General features: G+C 51.5%; 3 long non-coding RNA genes across 3 annotated transcripts in view, besides 2 other annotated features; 2 read left to right on the top strand and 1 right to left on the bottom strand.

Annotated features, from left to right (window-relative positions):
• The window catches only part of LINC02487 (long intergenic non-protein coding RNA 2487), a 15,599-nt gene extending 10,100 nt beyond the window's left edge, over positions 1 to 5,499 (top strand). The window contains exons 4-7 of the long non-coding RNA NR_117092.2: positions 1,945 to 2,470; positions 3,021 to 3,082; positions 3,743 to 3,857; positions 4,253 to 5,499. This is a non-coding gene — a long non-coding RNA (long intergenic non-protein coding RNA 2487). The remainder of the gene's footprint in view (positions 1 to 1,944; positions 2,471 to 3,020; positions 3,083 to 3,742; positions 3,858 to 4,252) is intronic.
• Positions 1 to 7,958, bottom strand: part of LOC124901465 (uncharacterized) — a 12,753-nt gene extending 4,795 nt beyond the window's left edge. Inside the window, exon 1 of the long non-coding RNA XR_007059883.1 lies at positions 7,585 to 7,958. This is a non-coding gene — a long non-coding RNA (uncharacterized LOC124901465). The remainder of the gene's footprint in view (positions 1 to 7,584) is intronic.
• Positions 434 to 935: an enhancer, noted in NCBI's record as "H3K4me1 hESC enhancer chr6:168085935-168086436 (GRCh37/hg19 assembly coordinates)". NCBI's record gives its function as "activates a minimal SCP1, AML or CMV promoter by ChIP-STARR-seq in primed H9 embryonic stem cells {active_cell/tissue: H9 hESC(primed)}" and the evidence as "EXISTENCE:reporter gene assay evidence [ECO:0000049][PMID:30033119]".
• On the top strand, positions 6,967 to 19,350 carry LINC02538 (long intergenic non-protein coding RNA 2538). Its single transcript, NR_117091.1, has 3 exons — positions 6,967 to 7,278; positions 7,991 to 8,130; positions 15,281 to 19,350. It is a non-coding gene; the product is annotated as a long intergenic non-protein coding RNA 2538 (long non-coding RNA).
• Positions 13,510 to 14,009: an enhancer, noted in NCBI's record as "H3K4me1 hESC enhancer chr6:168072861-168073360 (GRCh37/hg19 assembly coordinates)". NCBI's record gives its function as "activates a minimal SCP1, AML or CMV promoter by ChIP-STARR-seq in naive H9 embryonic stem cells {active_cell/tissue: H9 hESC(naive)}" and the evidence as "EXISTENCE:reporter gene assay evidence [ECO:0000049][PMID:30033119]".

Raw genomic sequence — 19,350 nt, 5'->3', positions numbered from 1 at the left:
TCACACACATAGTCTGCACACATCCTCACATACGCACACACACATACCCTCACACACACCCACACACACACAGTCGCATGTACACATGCCTAGATACACACTCACCTGTATACCCACCTGCACACACACACAGACACGCTCAGATATAACCACTTATTTATTTGCCAGACCAGTGAGCAAAATTTTTCCTGCTGTTGAAAATCAATGAAGTGAAGCGATGTGGGAAAGTTCCTTTTCCTGAGTCACGTTTAGCAGTTCTGTGCCCAGGCCGGTGAGGTGCACTGGGGCAGGAAACAGATGTGCCGGGCACCATCACACACAGATGCCAGGAGGCTGGTCCTTCCCAGCTCCCTGTGCAGGGCAGAGCCTGAGAAAGGTGTCCCCGACTTCCGGGTCCTTTCTCCCCTCACCTGCCCTAACTTCCACTGTCAAAATCTTCCCGGAGCCCTCCCTCCCTGAGCCCTGGGGCATGGGGTGGCCACGGGGGGCATGTGCTGGGTTCACCCCAGCCCTGGCCTTTGGGGAAGAGACATCCGAGATGTGGCCACTGCCACCCCAAAGGCAAGATTCTTCCGTGAGGCTCAAGTAACTGTGGTGACTGCCAGAGCTCCTCACTCGCTCTCGAGGTTACACCAGAGGATGGAGCCGCTGTTGTTAACCATGTTAACTTCTTCAGAGGAAAGGGAGGTGCTCCTGCTGTCTCCGCTTCTTACCGAGTTCCCATTGAGGAGGAAGCCAGGGAAAAATAGAACTCAGAGAGCGACAGCAAGATGAAATTTTCCCTTTAAGGTCAAAAGCGTGCCTGGAAAGTGTGCCCCTTGGGGAATATATTTCAGTGACAGAAAAAAAAAAAAACAGAAAAATGAAGCCTGTAGAATTCTTGAACTTCCCATATGTGCTAGGTGCACCCTAGGAAGTGGGGAAGACAGGAAGATTCGGGAAGCATGGGCTGTGTCCTCCAGAAGCTTAAAACACAAGATACCATTTTAGACACAAGATACAGAGCATTAAAGAAGTTAAATAGTGAAAAGAGACCATTTCTCAGGACCACAATGGAAGCACTGCTGCGTGCGGGCAGTCTATGGCTAACTGACAAGTCACCACAGAGAGGAGGAGGCCATGCGGGGCAGCTGGGAGCAGGTGTGCTCAGGCGATCCCTCCCCTGGCAGGTAAGTGTCCCTCCTCTGTCTTCCTGGGAAACTGCACCTGGACTGAGCTTCGGGGATAGGTTTCGACAGGGCCAAAAAACAGAAGAGCAGGAAAACATTCCAGGTGGGTAGAACCAGACGGTGGTGGTTTCTGTGGGGTTTATTTGAGGTGTGGCTGAGGGGAACTCCCCGGGGACCCTCCTCCAGGCTCCGTGCTCATTGCCTTTGCCTGTTATCTGGCAAGCACCCCAGGGTGGAGCAGGCAGAGGCAGTGGCAAGGCCTGAGGTTGAACAAACACCGCGGTGGGTCTGGACTCTGCTGCAATCTGGCTACGGTCGGGTAAACGGTGTTGATATGGTTTGACTCTGTGTCCCCACCCAAATCTCATGTTGAATTGTAATCCCCAATATTGGAGGAGAGACCTGCAGGGAGGTGATTGGATCATGGGGGCAGATTCCCCCCCTTGCTGTTCTCGTGATAGTGAGTCAGGAGATTTGGTTATTTGAAAGTGTGTAGCACCTCCCCCTTCACTCCCTCTCTTCTTCCTGCTCCACCATGCGAAGATGTGCCTGCTTCCCCTTTGCCTTCCACCATGATTATAAGTTTCCTGAGACCTCCCCAGTCATGCATCCTGTACAGCCTGCAGAACCATGAGCTAATCAAACCTTTTTTCTCTATAAATTACCCAGTCTCAGGTATTTCTTTATAGCAACACAAGAATGGATTAATACAGGTATGTCTTTTCTTTTTAAAATTTGCAAAGTACTATGTTTCAGGTGTTTCTACTTTTCCTAGATGGAGTTGACTCCCATCAGAGCCCTCCTGGACATGAACTCCTGAGTGCCAGAAACAAGATTCATTTAAAGATACAACTGTGAACGCTGCTGACCACATTCCAGCGCAGTGTGGATGTTCAACACCGAAGGGAGGGGACTCGGGCTTGGATCTGCAGCTAGCATTGGATGGACACAGAATCCTGAACTATGCATCGTGCTTTAGCTGCCATGAAAATTGATTTTTTTTTTTTTCAGAAAGGAATGTGCCAATGATGGGACTTAAGCTGGTGAAAACCACGTGGAACGGGATGCTCATGGGACCTGCCCCTTGGAGCTCCAGGCCTCCAGGCCTCAGTGCTGGTTTTCCTAAGTCCTTATTTTCTCCCGTGTTTGGCTGGGGGCTGGTCCGACTTCTCCCTTTGGTGGACTCTCAGTTGTCAAGTGTGAAGTCTTTGAACTGCACACAAGAGTGGGGACAACGTTTCTATCTGCAAATCAAGCAAGCGCTTGGGCGAACATCTTCCCAAGGCAGAGATGAAGAATGGGTACTCTAGGATGCTCCATTTTGGGACAAACGTCTAGTGGGGCCACATTTGCATGGCAACATGCCATTTCCACTTTTTCCGTATTTAGAAGCTTCCCATGGAGCTCCCGCTGACAGGAGCCACTCATGTGCACACTGAGTGGAGGCTCAGAAGGAGGATTTGTCGTAGAGTTGTTTTTCAGAGGCTGGGAGTCAGGGCTGAGGGCCAGCGGGTGGCTCTGCACCCCCATCCCTCCATCCCCTGTGGAATGCCAGGAGTTCTCTTCTCCGTCCCTCATGCGTGATGGGGGACAAATGTCTCCTCACCGGTGACAATAATGACAGGCTTCTGTCCAGAGGCAGGAGGGGGGCCAGTATCATGCACTGAAGAAACTTTCACAGCACAGTTGTCTGAGACAGGGAAACCCACACGCAGACGGCCAGGGGACCTTGACCTCCTTAGCAAACAGGAAACAAAGTGCTCTTGTTCTCAGGCCGGAATGAAGCGGCTGTGCGAACACATCCCAATTGTACATCTGATGCTGACTCACACAGAGCGTTTCCATTTTTAGATTTCAGCTACAGAAGGCAGGAATCCTTTGGACTTGGCCCTTTATCAGTGGAATGGACAGAGGTGAGCAGGCGTGGCCAGCATGGCATTCCCCTAAACTCATCCTGGCACTGTGGCAACTCTTTGAGCAAAATTCCCAGGGATGTTGAGTTTGTTGTCAGCCACAAGTACTTCCGTTAAGGGCCACTAAGGGTTGTGTTCATCAAAACTGTATTTTACAAATATCTAATATGACCAAGTTATGAAAGACTTTCTTTGTTCCAAACAAATTTGGAGGAAATGGACACACTTTGACTCAATTTGTTATCACATTAGAATGCAACATTATGGGCTGGGTGCAGTGGCTCATGCCTGTAATTCCAGCACTTTGGGAGGCCAAGGTGGATGGATTGCTTAGTTCTAGCTACTTTGGAGGCCAAGGTGGGAGAACTGCTTGAGCCCAGGAGGTCAAGGTGACAGCGAACTGAGATTGTGCCACTGCATTCCAGCCTGGGCAAGAGAGTGAGACCGTGTCCCCCCCGACTCAAAAAAAAAAAAAAAAAGAATGTGACATTACACCTCATAATTGGATTGTGGATAATTTCCTTATCTCAAAACAAAATGATGGCAGGAAAATTGCCGAGCTTATTTCTCTTTGATCTGTGGCACTGGCTGGATGGTAGAAGCAGAATGCCACCCTCCATTTAGCTGATGACGATGACCCACATCTCCTTGCCTTCCCAGCAGCTCTCGGTGGGGTCTCTGTTGGGAATGCCTGCTGAGACGGGACCAAGGACGGCTGCAGGATGTGGTGTCTGTGCTCAGCGTCACCTCCTCCCAGGCTCCTGGGAAGCACCTGGTAAGAAAGCCCTTCTGGCCATCGGCCCCAGGGATCAGGAAGACGGCGGCCAGGCTCCCAGCCACAGTGTGGCTCTGTGTATCTCGCGCTGTCCGTTGTTGAGTTAGTTCACAAAACACAGGCACCCTGAGCACAGCTGTGCCTTCTGGACCTGATCCCCTATCTTTGCATGTGGGAAATCCAGGATCCTCCCAGATATTTCTGAGGATATCCATGTTTTGGGGGTGATGGTGAGGGCGGGGAAAGAGGAGACTCATGTTTTTCCAGATGCTTCCTGCCCCAAACTCCAGCTTCCATGAACTTCTGCATCCCTGGTTCTCTGGGCATGACTGTCTTCACCTTTATGGTTCACTCTGTGTCACTGGTGGGCTTTGCTCTGCTTCCTCCTCCCCCAGAGCATCTCCTGACAAAGCCACCATGAGCAAGACCCTCAGAGAAGGTATGAAGATGAGAGGCTGGTGTGAAGAGGCTGCTGTGAAGCAACTATATAGCATCGGGCAGGACATAAGGGGAAATTGTTGCTTTCATGTTCCTTTACCCCCACAGTTTGGATTTCTGCCACAAGGATCACTGTGGTCTTCCTCCCTGGGGCTCACTCCACCTACCCCACACCTCCCACCTCCCCCGTCCTCTCTTGGGGGACTTCCTGAGTTCTCGACAGAGCAGTTTCACTGTCTTCTCTCCACGCTTCCTGGACTGGCCCGCCCATTTTTTTCTATGACCCAGAATTCCTTCCCAAATAAGAGCGTCATATTCCTTGAGCCCCTTCACTAGAAGCAAGGAGATGGGCAGGCGTTGAACTGCGGCTTTTCTCTAGACTCTTCCCTAATCCCTAGGTTCCCCCAACTATTTAGTCTAGAGCAAGCCCAGGAACAGTGATTTTTTTTTTTTAACCTGCCATTTCTGTTATTCAAGCTGTTTTAGTCAGTTCAGGCTGCTGTAACAAAAATGCAATGGCCTGGGTGGTTTTAACAACAGAAATGGATTTCTCACAGTTCTTGTGAGGCTGGGACGCAGGAACCCCCACATCCAAGTGCCAGGCAGTTCCGTGGCTGGGAGGGCTCCAGACTGGTGTGTGGATGGCACCTTCTGCTGTGTCCTCACATGGCTGAGAGATGGGTCATCTCTGTTCTTATCAGGGCACTAATCCCATTCACAAGGCCCCCCATGACCTAATCACCTCCTAAATGCCCCGCTTCCTAATACCAGCACCTTGGAAAATAGGGCTTCAAGATACAAATTTTGGGGGACTCAAACATTCCATCCATAGCACCCGCTCATGTGCTGTGATGTCCAGTGAGCAGGCGGAGTTCCAGGGCTGGTCAGTGCCAGGTGCTCCTTCTCCCACCCGAGAACAGGGGCCAGGTTGCTCCTCAGGCACCCTGGGCAACTGCCCCTTCCCTTCCAGTGGGGCCTGACCTGGCTACCGAGCTTGGCAGCTAATAGGCGGGCCCCTCAGCATTCACGCTCCTGAGCTGCTTTATCAAACTAGGATTGTTCCCCCAGGTCTAAGAAAACCATCCATTCACTGCAAAGTTATTTATTACTGCGGATGGGCTAGGAGTTAGAGGAAGAGAGTGACTCAAATCACAACACCTCCTGGACGAAGCTGGAAGGGATTAAAATACGGCCTAATTTCTCCCTTGCTGTGTGAAGCGTGTGGTTCTCCTAGAACATCAGCCCGACTGTCGCTGGGTAGCGGCGGTACTGTTCATTCTGCATTAGCTTTGTCCAGATTGTTCAGTGTGGGTCCCTGCCTACAGATCTTGATTCCTTGAGATTGCCCTTTGTGCTTCTGTCTGGGGACTGCCTGTTTCTGTAATGGCCACCGTCTCAGAACACATGGTTGTAGGCCTCAGCATTTGCCTTACACACAGCCCCCTTGGAGACAAACCGTGTCTGTGTCCCTCAGAAGGCCCTGACTTTCAGGGCACACTCCAGCCTGACTTTGGCACTCTGCTAGACACATCCGAAACGCTGGTTCTCGTGTTGAAGTCTGTTATGGATATGTAGGGTAAGGCAGGGAAACTGGAGCGCCTGCATACCCTTGACTTCCTCCATTTGGAAAAGATAACCCTGAGACATGGTGGAGGAGAAGGGGCCCTGACCTGTCAGCTACATCTGGATGTAACTCCCCTGATGAAGAAAGTGCCAGAGGCAGCAAAGCAGCCCTTATAGGGTATTTTGTGCTCCCCCAACAGAGGAAGAGGAGCTTAGGGTCTCCAGGGAGAATGTCTGGTTGTGAAGAGCCGCCAGGACCTGGAGCTGCACGGTTGCTCAGTGTGCATTTCACTTGGTCAGCCCCTACGCTGGAGAGTGCTTGCATCCGAACCTTCAGTGCCTGGATAGACACTGAGCTGAGCGAACGGTATGCTGGAAAATGAAGCGTGCAAGTGACAAAGTGCTCAACTTAGACTCTGGGCAAAATTCTCACAAAGGGCTTTCTAATCCTCACTTAATGGAAGAGTGGAGCAATTTCCAGCAGAAGTTGTGGCTTGCTTCACCAGGTCTGCTCAGGTCAGCGGGGTGAGCCTACGGCCAGGATGGGTGGTAATTAATATTGGAATACTTGGCCAGTCTGCAGACCTCAGACCACAAAAAACCCTCCATCCTCAAGCAGTCTCTTCTTTATGCCTCGCAAGGGGAAGATAATTAAAGACTGTGGTAACGGGTTAATTTATAGGAAAATAATGTAGCATACTCAACTATCTATACTTTTTCTATTGCTAAATTTAATATACATCCATTTCTATTGATTATCAGAGGGGTCTAGACTCCCGGCCAAGAGTTGCGAAACCAGTCATTATCCCGCAGGCACCTTCCTGCTTTATTTCAGAACATTCAGTCATTCATTCAAAACAACCCAAAGCATCTGCATTCACAGAGCTGCCCTAACAGATGAGTTTTTCTTCATCTCCCAAGGTAATGATATAAAAAAAGTGTCAGCCATGGGATTTTCAGTGGGAAACGGGAAACCCAAGGCATGGTGCATTCAATGGAAAAATTCCTCAAGCTCGTGACCTGCATAAATCTCCAAATCCTTTTCAACATCATCCTGTTTAGTGTTCGGCATGAGGGTGCCTGCAGAGGAGGTGAATCCCTGCGTTTTCTATTCTTTTTTTCTTCCGACTGGTGTGGATCCCAGACAATTTCAGGGTCCTGCAGGGTTTGAGACCCTCTGTGAACACTGACCCGGGACCCCGTTTTGCCCATGGGAAGTTGAAGCCAGCGCAGCCCCCGGCCAGGGGCACTGTCTCCTCGGCCCCGGGATGCTGGACGGAGGGGACAACGTGCAGGGGCAGCTGCTGCTGGGCTGTGGACCTCCCGGAACCGGAGGAGCCCGGGAGGGGCTGGCCCAGCAGTGAGGGCTCCGATGCGCCTCAATTCATATGCTAAGGAGCCCTGGATTCGGCTTTAATTGGTGAGAGGAGAAAGTGGTGCAGCTGCCTGGGGCCGCGCTGTGGGAGCCAGGGCAGGAGGAGCTGTTTGAAAATAATCCCCGCGGGGACACGCAGCACCAACTCGGGCTTCAGTCCCTGGAAAGCGGCCGGGGGCGGGGCGGGAGGCCGGGATGCGGCGGAGAGCGACTGGCAGGGAAAGCGTGAGGTCACGGTGGCCACCGCACCGGCTCCAAGCAGCAGGGGCCCAGGGCTGAGCCCTGATTTCCACACCGGCCCCTGGATGAGCCTCAGTGTTTCACTCTGGCAATGGAAATAAGAATACCTACCTCACCCCATCGTTGGAATAAATGCAATAATGCAAAGGGAGGTCTTAGCACAGACGCGGGGCAGGCGCTCAACGCCTGGTGCCCACCGGCGCTGCGTCCTGGACGTGTCCAGCGAAGCCCGTGTGAGGCTATGACGGGAACGGAGGAGCTGGCGCGGCGCCTCACTGCTCCCCAGAGCCTTGCAGCGTCTCCCAGCCCAGGCTTTGCCCCACCACGGCTCCCATGGCTGCCGGAGGGAACCTCAAAGGCGGTTAGAATGCGCCGGGTAAATGCGCAGCTTTTCTTCTGGAGCCTCCACGAGAAAGAAATGGAGAGTTTTTTCCTGGGGCTGCTTGTGGTGCAAGTCCCGCTTGGGTGCAGGGCGAGCGGCTTCCGAGGAATTCACTGTCTCCTTCTCTCTTTCTAGCCGGAGTGGGAGGTGACCCCAGGGGCCCAAGCTGGGGGCGTGGCTGGGAAATGCACAGAAAGAGACTTCGACGGGGGTGGCTATGGTTTGTGCTGTGCTGTGCACACGTCTGGCTGATAGAAATCTATGTCTATAAACAGGTAACACAATTTGGTTTATCAAACCCATAATAAGCAGATTTTCTGACTTGCATAAGAATTTCTCTGTAATCTTTGCTTTAAAGTCCGTTGAATGCCATAGAAAAAGTTGCATTTGATGAGGCTTCAGGAAAGAAAAGGTAACAAACTATTCTAAGAGATGAGGATAGTGCCTGAGTGGGGCCCAGGACAGACAGGGGGTCCTCACCTCTTGCTGCTGGGGTTGGCTGCAGGGCTTTGCCTCAGTCTGATTTTTTGCAGCATCTACACAGTTTAAATACTTGGAAAAATCCTCTTTGTGAGTGTATTAAGTCACAGCCTACCAATGTGACAAATGACATCTAAATGCAATTTACAAATCCTAAGTTCCAGGTAGAAGAGAACGTGGTAGGTCCACGTCTTCATTTTCCCATACCTTTAGTCCGTCGAGACTCCGCTTAGCCAGCTCTGGCCATCCCTTTATCCTCCTAGGAACAGAATCTTACATGCAGTATTTTTACTGGTACGTAAAAAATTTAAGGCTGCACTAAGCAGGCGCCCAGGCCCCCAGAGTCAGAAGGGAGTGTACGGTGCACACATGATGACGATTTGAAAAGAGCCTGGCTTCAGGGCCTTGCAGATGAAGCTAACAAACCCCCTGTTCGGGAGGGAGCACCTGCACCCCAGCCCCCTCCCTCAGGGATGCATCTGCAGCCACTCCGGGGCAGGGCTGATGCCTCTGTGATGGTCCCGATGGTCCCGCCCGCAGCCTGCTCTTTGTGGCTCTTTGTTGCTCTTTGTCACAGTCCTGCTCAACAGCTGGTGCTTGCAGGAAGAAGCTCTCTGGCTGCAAGAAAGCCAGGGTGTGGGTGGATGACAGAATAAATGGGAGGGATGGAGGGCGTCTACTTGGCAGTTCGGATTCCTGGGCAGGGTCAAGATCAGGAGAAATAGGAAAATAGAAATAGGAGGAAAAGCTTCTGCCTTTTGTTCCAAACCAGCCTGGCTTGCCTGTGAAGGGGAGGACTTGACCAGGGCACTTTCCTGGGGCCACTGCCTGGCTTTTGGAGATGAGGTAGTGGCCTTTGTCTAAGATCATGTTACCTATACTCCTGGTTTAACTTTTTATTTAAAATTTTTTTAGACACAGGGTCTTGCTCTGTTGCCCAGGCTGGAATGCAGTGGCACGATCACAGTTCACTGTAACCTTGAACTCCTGGGCTTAAGCCATTCTCTTGCCCCGACCTCCCAAGTAGCTGGGACTACAGGTGCCCACCACCATGCCCCACTAATTTTTTCATACTTTTCTGTAGAGACAGGGTCTCGCCATGTTGTTCAGGCTGGTCTTAAACTCCTCGCCTCAAGAGATCCTCCTGCCTTGGCTTCCCAGGGCGCTAAGATTACAGGTGTGAGCTGACACACCGAGCCTACAACTGCATTTTATGTATCTCATTTTGTGTAGATATGGCCACAAAGTAGTAAAAAACCGGGTCTGTCATAAAGCTGTGATGGGGTGCTAACTCCATGCCGTCGAGTCTACGTGATGAAAGGATTTTGAATTGGAAGGGGGCTTATATATCCTCTGGTGGATAGGACCCCCCCTGTGCAGATGAGGTCCCCAGGTTTGATGCCATCCTAAACATCTTCACTCAGCAGTGGTGTTGGGAGGAGACTGTGGCCTCCGGTTTCCCGTCCAGCCTTTCCCAGCTGCTTCCTCTGCTTGTTTCTCGCGGAGATAAAGCCGGTGAAAAATGAGGGCAAAGTTCACAGTCCTGCAGTCCTGCAGTCGCTGCCATAGCAGAAACAGTAAACACGCACATTTACACAGGCAAAAAGCAGCAAACAGTGCTGGTGAGTGGCCGAAGTCCACACGGTCATCCAGGCAGTGCATGCTGAGTGCTTTCTATGCACCAAACACTGGCCGCAGCATGCTCCTATCCTCAAGAGATGGGGCACAGACACGGCTAATCACGCCAGCAATTATTGACGGTCCTTACATATGCTCTGAAGGAAGCTAAGGGGGAAGATGGGGGAAGAGTTGGCTCGGGTCTAGTGCAAAGTGCACCTTCGTATCACCTGGGGAGCTTTTTAACATCCCAGCTCCTAGTCATGGAATCTCTTGGGGGTGAGCCCTGGGCACCAGTGTTTTTTTATTTTACTGCTGGTCACCAGATGGTTCCAATGTGAGAACTATTGCTGTGGAACCAAGTTTGAGAACCATTGCTGTAGAGAAGTGTTGTCATTTAGAACCTTTACATGTCCCAGTGAATACTGTAACTCACTGCATTTTCTCACTTGTAAGATATCACCAGGTGTAAGACAGAGCCAGGACTTAATCATCACTTTCCAGGAAAAAAAATACTGCCCATGTTGTAATGTGAGATGCACCCTTCTCCCCACAAACATGAAAATATGAAACAGTACATCCAAGATCGAGAAAATGCAATATTTGAAAAAAGATGAATAATACATGCTTTTCAAATGTAGTCTTAGAGGCAGAGTTAATACTTGAATAACAAATCAAACTTCAGCATGACCTGAAAAGCTGAGCTGACCCAACCCAATGGAATCAAATGGTCAGGCAGCAGTGGAGGCCAAGCAGCAAAGCCACAGAGCACAGTGCACAGGCAGCAAGGTCTGGAGTCTGGCCGACTGAGTTAGAATGATTTTGTGCTATAATAATGATATCTAATGTTTTCAGAGTGCATACTGTGAACCAAGCACTTAATAAGTGCTATATATGTATGTATTTTACACATATATACATTTATATACTGTATATATAAACACACATGCACATCCACAAATATATGGAACTTGATATGGTTTGGCTGTGTCCCCACCCAAATCTTATCTTGAATTGTAGCTCCCATAATTCCCATGTGCTGTGGGAGAGACCTGGTTGGAGGTAATTGAATCATGGAGGTGGGTCTTTCCTGTGCTGTTCTCGTGACAGTTAATAAGTCTCACGAGATCTGATGGTTTTATAAGGAGGAGTTCCCCTACACAAGATCTCTCTTTTTGCTGGCCACCATGTAAGACGTGCCTTTGTTCTTCCCTTGCCTTCCACCATGATTGTGAGGCCTCCCCAGCCATGAGGAGCTGGGAGTTCATTAAACCTCCTTTTCTTTATAAATTACCCAATCTCGGGTATGTCTTTACCAGCAGCATGAAAACGGACTAATACATAACTCTTTTAATTTCCCAACCCACGTACAAAGGCATAAACTCAGCTTGGAGAGTGAGCAGGTTGCTGAAGATTACACAGTATGCTTTGAATTCAGGCAGTCTGACTCCATAGCCTGCTCTGCCATCATTAAAAAGCACTGATGAATACAAAGGCAGGACTCAGCTTTCTTTAATGTCAGTATGAGGTTCAAGCCCTCTGTAGTGAGCCGCAGCCCTGGGAATGTCACATGGACCCAATACGTAAGGTTCCCAGGGAAATGTCCACAAATGAATGCATGCCATGCGTGGCCCATCCCCGGAAGCTCAGCACGGGCCACGCTTAGATCTCCTTTTACTTTACTAGCCTTAAGTCCACCCCCAGGGTCTGGCCACAATGATAAAGATTCTGATATCACTTCTTGGATGACAGGGAGAGGGCATTTCTGAGGTTTAGCTTGGAGGAGTTAGAGAAAGGGTATACGGGAAACCTCAGAAATGTTTCCAAATATTCCCAAAGTTATGCACAAAAGAAGGAAGACATCTTTTCCATGGAGGCCTCGTGGGCAGAGATAGCAAGAACCAACGAGTAGAAATTGTAGGGAAATTTCACCTTCATACAAAAAGGAACTTTTCCCCAATTGCAGTTGCCTTCAAATAGATAACTAACTGTGAGTGGCAGGAAATCTCTCCAAAACCTGAAATCTGCTAAATGCAGACACGGTCAGCAAACGCTTGATGAGAAACCCAGGAATGTCTTAGGGGAATTCCAGGGAAGGAGGCTGACTGGGTCGTTTTCCAGCATGTCCTCATCTCTGGAAGCTTTTTTGATCAAAGTTGTAAGCAGAATGAGGACAGGGACCATGGCTATTATAACATATGCATCCCTATCCACCCAGAGCTCAACAAACCACCCGTAAGTGAGCAAATAAATGGAAAACACCCTTTCTATAGACAGGAGAGTGTAGGACAAGGACATAGGTACTGGATCCAGGCTGCCCTGGACTTGAATTTATCTCCACCAACCACTAGATCTGAGGCCTTGGTCCAGCTCCCACACCTTCTGTCCCTTTTTCCTACTGTACAATGGGTCCAATGATACTACCCACCTTATTGGGGTTAAATGAAATGTTCCTTTTTTTTTGAGACAGAGTCTCGCTCTGTCGCCCAGGCTGGATTGCAGTGGTACAATCTCAGCTTACTACAACCTCCGCCTCCTGGGTTCAAGCGATTCTCATGCCTTAGCCTCCTGAATAGCTGGGACTACAGGCGTGTGCCACCACACCTGGCTAATATTTTGTATTTTTAGTAGAGCCGGAGTTTCACTGTGTTAACCAGGATGGTCTTGATCTCCTGACCTGGTGATCCACCTGCCTCAGCCTCCCAAAGTACTGGGATTATAGGTGTGAACCACCACGCCCGGCCTAAATGAAATATTCTAAGTAAAATCCTTAGGACAGAGCTGGGAGAAAAATGTAGTGTTCAGTGACTATTAGCCCTTCTTTTTTGTTTAGTTTTGCAAATATCTTCTTCCTCATCCATCTCCCCATAGCCCTCAGACGGTGCCCTTCTGGAGAGCAAGTCCTCTGTGTTATGCACCTTCGTTTCTGTAGCCTCGATACCTGCAAGCTGTTTCATGGGGGTTTCCTGAGTGCAAACATGAGTAAATGAGGGACAGATGGATAAGAAGAGAGACTGCCCTGCTATTTTCCAATTCAACTGGAATCTGTCTCTGGGATTCTTGGATTTTTTTTCTCCTGAAAAGTCTGAAACAATTCTGATTTATCTAGATTTTTTGTTCATTTTGTTCTCCTACCCTGTAGTGTGGGCTGGAGGGACATTCACTGTAATGGGATTCCATCACCAGGGATCAAGGTCTTCAGTACTGGAGGCTGCCGTCAAAGCATGCCATCACACCTAGGGAACTGCTAGCCAGACTCTCCTACGAATGTAATGGTTAATTTTCAATAATTGATTATTCACTGATTAACAAGTCTTAATTAGATTCCTCTCTGGTTTACCTTGGACCCTGACCTCCCGAAGTAGGGTAGTGTCAGGTACATGTCACTGTTGAACAGCAACCATGGAACAGTCTTCTATTTAGATCCTAAGTGCTCTGAGCTCTCAGCCAGGGAAGTTGGTGATTTTGTTTAGTGAGACTGTTTTTCTTTGTTTCTCTTGAAGTAGAGATGCAGTGTGAAAACTTCATTCATGCAAGAACGAGGCATGTGAAGGAAGGAAAATGTGAAGTGTGGTGGGAGAGCACTGGGTGGCCTTGCAGTCCCTCCCCACGTGATAACGATGGCAGTGCAGCTGTAGGTGGCAGCGCGGCTGTAGATGGTAGTGTGACTGTAGATGGCCGCGTGAATGTAGATGTTAGCGCCACTGTAGATGGCAGTGCGGCTGTAAGTGGCAGTGCGACTGTAGATGGCAGTGTGGCTGTAGATGGCTGTTCGACTGTAGGTGGTAGTGCGACTATAGATGGCAGTGCGGCTGTAGACAGCAGTGCGGCTGTAGACAGCAGTGCGGCCGTAGACGGCAGTGTGGCTGTGGGTGGCAGTGCAACCGTAGGTGGCAGTGTGGCTGTAGGTGGCAGCGTGGCTGTAGATGGCAGCGTGGCCGTAGATGGCAGTGTGGCTGTAGATGGCAGTGTGGCTGTAGATGGCAGTGTGGCCGTGGGTGGCAGTGTGGCCGTGGGTGGCAGTACAACCGTAGGTGGCAGTGTGACCGTAGATGGCAGTGTGGCTGTAGATGGCAGTGTGGCCGTGGGTGGCAGTGTGGCCGTGGGTGGCAGTGCGACTGTAGGTGGCAGTGCGACTGTAGATGGCAGTGCGGCTGTAGACAGCAGTGTGGCCGTGGGTGGCAGTGTGGCCGTGGGTGGCAATGTGGCTGTAGATGGCAGTGTGGCCGTAGACGGCAGTGTGGCTGTGGGTGGCAGTGCAACCATAGGTGGCAGTGTGGCTGTAGATGGCAGTGAGACTGAAGATGGTAGTGTAGCTGTAGATGGTAATGTGACTTAGGTGGCAGTGGGTGTAAATGACAGTGTGGCTGTAGATGGCAGTGTGGCTGTAGATGGCAGTGTGGCTGCAGATGGCAGTTGGCTGTAGGTGGCAGTGTGGCTGTAGATGGCAGTGCGACTGTAGATGGTAGTGAGACTGAAGATGGCAGTGTAGCTGTAGATGGTAGTGTGACTTAGGTGGCAGTGGGTGTAAATGACAGTGTGGCCGTAGATGGCAGTGTGGCTGTAGGTGGCAGTGTGGCTGTAGATGGCAGTGCAGCTGTAGATGGCAGTGTGGCTGTAGGTGGCAGTGTGGCTGTAGATGGCAGTGTGGCTGTAGATGGCAGTGAGACTGAAGATGGCAGTGTAGCTGTAGATGGTAGTGTGACTTAGGTGGCAGTGGGTGTAAATGACAGTGTGGTTGTAGGTGGCAGTGTGGCTGTAGATGGCAGTGCGACTGTAGATGGTAGTGTGACTGAAGATGATAGTATGACTGTAGATTGTAGTGTGACTGTAGTGCCTCAGGTCTGAGCACCTAACATTTCCACACTAAACAAGGAAAAGTGTTGGCTGCATGAGACTGCAGAATAGAAGTGGAATGGAAAACTTTTATTTAATCTGGCCAGCCTGCACTGTATCCATGAGTTTGCATTGACATGAACTGTGACTTCCAAGCAGGCCCAACTGCCATAAACCTTAGCAGCTGGGTTTCCTACTGATTTGAACAGCAACTTGGATTTTGTCATTTTTTAATTCAAAAGAACAGGAGTGCATTGGGTCGGTCACACTGGTATTCTACGTTCTGATGCAGCCTGTCCTGGAGAAACCATCAGTCTGTAACTCCCTCAACACGACTCTGCGATTCAGCGTTGATTGGGTCACTGGGACCAAAGGTCGCTGATTCCTTTTGTAGCCTGTGATTTTTAGACAGAATGCCTGCTGTACTCTTAGCCTCCTTAAATATTTAGTAAGATCTCTAACGCTCTCCTTGTACTAAACCTGGGTTTTCAGTTCCTTCCAGGTCTCCGCGGAAAACTGAAGATTCCTGTGTGCTTTCAGAAAAGAGGTTCCAAGGAAAAGGGCAGCCATTTAGTTTTCACAAGTCTGGGCAGTGAGCGATTTGGAGCTTCCATCCTTGGCTGACATCATGAACACCAATGTTGCTGGCCTCGATCGCAAGAAGGGTGGGACTTCGTGCTTAGCCTTCCTGGGGAAGGGCCTGTCCCTGGGTCACGTCCCCAGTGACCACAGGAGGAAGAGAAGGGATGAGGATCCTGGGGGGCCTGGCTCTGCGTCCACCCGTCTCTGTGTGGATGCCTCCTGTGTCCAGGGTGATAACCGGTCACCCGACTGTGTCCTTGGGGTCATTCCTGGCTTCTCCTGCCGCTTGATCACCCCTCTGGCTGCAGGGAGCCCAGGACGGAGAAGGAGAGACCTCATTCTCCCTGGGGAATGCAGGCTGAGACCACCCATGCTTCTGGAGCAGGGTTTCATGTGGGGGAGGTCCCTCCAGGGAGGGACAGTGAACTGACGCTGTGATATTGCTCAGGATGGAGGCCCAGGGCAGACGGCGTCACCAGCTGCCGCAGAAGCCAGGTTGCCAGAGGGGCTGTGTCACCAGCCCTGGGGACGCCATGTTGCTGTGCGTTTCGACACATTCCTGTGGAGTGTCTGAGGAAAAACAGGGCACACGCATTCCTGATAAGATTGCACCAAAAGGCCAGGGTGGGGGACCAGGCTCCCAGCCTCCCTCTGTCTCAGTTGGGGGCCGAGGGGCAGGGACAGCCAGGAGAAGGCCCAGCCAGATGCTGCTGGCTTCCCCCAGGACTCTGCCCGACTGGCCTCTCGGTTAAACCTCCTCACCTGAGCCTCTCTTATGGCGTGGTTGAGTCACACATGAGAGGGTTTTGTCTGCCGGGAGGGGCTCTTCTTATGGGACAACAGGGGCGCGAGGTGTGTGGTGTGGCTCTCAGGGATGTGTCTGGACTCTATCACGTCTGAGTGTCCCTGGGGCCAGAGTGCTGGGGGCAGGAGCCTGTGGTTTATCAAGCACCTTCTGCCAGCTGAGGCCGTGACTTTTTGTCCCTCACTGGAGGAGGCTTCAAGGTCAGCCTCTTTTTCCTTTGGTCCCAAGCTTGCCGTGTCTCCTCCTCATTCCCCACGTCCACATGAGAAGGCAGTGTTCACAGGTGGGTTGGTCTGAGATTGAAATCGCAAGGCCAGGATTTTCTGTCTGGGCAGCCCCCTCGAGTCAGCCTCAGAGGAGCCCAGACCTCTTGGATGGCTTTCGGCGAGCCTCCCAGTGGGCACAGCACTCGCCACCGGACACTGCATGGACTCAGCTTCCACACTGCGATGGGTATGGCCTGGTCCTTGCACTACCAGGGGCAAGGAGGAACGCTATGCCTGGTGGGGGTGAGCACCCCATCTCATGACAAAGCAGTTCTCCAGGGTCTGCCCCACTTTTCTGTAAACCTGGGGGTCCAGCCCAGTGCATTGGCTGGAAGGAGAGGGGACGCCTCCTGTCCCAGCTCATGGCGCTCTGCCGACCCCACTGTCAGCCCCAACCTTGGTGCTCCGGGGGGCCCCAATGCCATAGATGCACTTCATGGGGAGCAACTGGGGCTGTTCCTGAGGACCAAGATGGGCAGAGACCCTAAAGACGTCCATGGATTGACCCCTGCTCTCTGTGGCCCCTGCCTGGCTGGCCTCCCCTCCTCACACTCTCCACAGTTCTCATGCAACACAGCGCCTCTAAAAATGCTGTCCTGAAAATGTGCGCTTTGGGGAAGAGCAGCTTCCTCCTCTTCGACCAAGTTCGGGTCCCTTCTACCCTTCAGTGGCTGTAGGCAGTCGGTGAGGGTCCTGGACGGGGTGGGCCGGGGGCAGGGAGGGGCACTGTGGGCTTTGGTTGCTCAGGGGTCCTGGCAGACACACCAACCTGGTGTGTTTGGAAATGCACCTGGATGTGTGCTGACCTCTGTGTGGAGGACCACGGGTCTGTTCATCCCCCACTGGCTGCACCCCCGGGAGGCTGCAGCGTGCACTATTCGGTCCCTACGCTGCAGTTATTCTTGTATCTGCCTTGTCACTGGCCTTGCTGCCCATGACTCCCTCAGGTCAGCCCACGTCTCTGTCAAACTTTCATCCTCCGCAATTCTGCGCAGCCTGTAAATGCTTAAAAAATATTGCGGAACAGGTGAGTCACATTACAGAAAGGACGCAACCTGGAAAAGCACAGACATTCCTTCCCCTTCTGCACCTGTTAGAGTAAGGGAGGGGCATGAGGGGGTGGGACCTGCACAAGGTGCAGCTGATAGAAATGCAGTCTTCAGGAAAAGCCCTGGCTCTGAAACGGCAAAGGCTGTGTGCCTGGGAAAAAGACAAACGTGTCTTATCCGGAGACGGCCCCCCTGCCCCAAAGGCTGTCACGCTGCCGTTCAGTTATCTATTCTGCAGCGATAGAACTGGCTTGACCTAAAAATTCAGTGACGGAAAAATGTCATCTAATGCTGCTTAGTGCAGTCAGGCGGTCAGCAGATGAGGGCAGAAGGCCACTGGTCTTTGACAGAACACGCGGATGGCGAAATAACAAAACAGGTGGCGGATGAGGGCAGAAGGCCACTGGTCTTTGACAGAATATGCGGACGGCGAAATAACAAAACAGGCAGCAGATGAGGGCAGAAGGCCACTGGTCTTTGACAGAACACGCGGACGGCGAAATAACAAAACAGGATTCAGGCTGCACTGTCAGCAGCAGAGACAAACAATTCTTCCAAAATAAACAAGCGAGCTCCCAGCAGAGGCCTGTGAAGTCTCCCGTTCTGCCCAAACCACACACATGTGGCCCACAGAGGAGGCTGCAGAGGCCCACGGGGAACTCAAGTGGCCGAGTGTGAGACCCAGGCCACCGGCCGTCCTCCCTGTCAGAACAAAAGGTTCATGGAAAGGGCCAGGAGGACACAGCAAGGGGAACCGAATGCCACTGGCATTTCTTGGATCTTTTGTACCATAGTCTAAGCATTTAGAGGAAGCACCGCGAGTTTGCTGCCCTGGAAGCTGACGTGCTCCCCAAACACAAGACGCAGGACTGGAGGCCTTGCCCCGCAGCTCGAGAGGCCGTTTTGGGACATATCAAGGAAGGAAGGCTTAAGCGACACAGGACCTGGCTGACTTACGCACCCGCTGTCTAAAGATGGGGTGCTGGCCGGTGAACTGGAGTGGCTCACGGCAGACCTGGAGTGACAGTCATGGGTCTGTACCTGTGTGGAGTCCTCCATGGCTGGGCTTGCAGAGACTGAGCTGGACTGCATTGCACATTGGCTGGAAGGAGAGGAGCCACTGAGAGACCCAGCTTACGGCACTCTGCCCACCCCACTGCCCACCCCAACCCTGGCGCTCCAGGGGGGCCCAATGCCACAGACACACTCCAGGGGGACAATTGGGGCTGTTCCCAAGGACCAGGAGGGACAAATGCCCTAAAGATGTCCATGGTTTGACCCCTGCTGTCTGTGGGCCCTGCCTGGCTGGCCTCCCCTTCTCACACTCTCCACAGTCCTCATGCAACACAGCACATCTGAAAATGCTGTCCTGAAAACGCGCACTCTGGGGAAGAGCAGCTTCCTCCTCTCCGAGTGGAGCGGGCTGGCCCCATGAGGCGTGATTTTCACTGTGAAATGTGCTTCACGTAACACTGGGGCCTTTGTCACCATTTTTAATTGTACAGTTTGGAGGCATTAAGTGTGTTCATCATCACCACCTTCCACCCACAGAGCTTCTTCGTCTTCCCAAACGGAAACTCTGTCGTCGGTAAACACTCCCTCCCCTCCCACAGCCCCTGGCACCTGCCTTCTCCTTCCTGTCTCCATGAACCTGACAACTCTTCGGACCCCACCTAAGTGGAGTTGGGCAGGATTTGTCCTCTGTGGCTGGCTCGCGTCACTCAGCGGCCCTGAAGACTCATCTGCGCCGCAGCCTGTCCCAGAATCTCCCTCCCTCTAACACTGATTAATATCCTGCTGCACAAAAAAACAAAGATGATCATTTGATACCCGAAATCCACTTGAAAATTGGTAAGAAAA

Source organism: Homo sapiens, chromosome 6, assembly GCF_000001405.40.
Source record: "Homo sapiens chromosome 6, GRCh38.p14 Primary Assembly".
In the NCBI taxonomy this organism is placed as follows: Eukaryota; Metazoa; Chordata; class Mammalia; order Primates; family Hominidae; genus Homo; species Homo sapiens.
The sequence above is the reverse complement of the archived record's forward strand: the minus strand, read 5'-3'. Positions and strand labels throughout refer to the sequence as shown.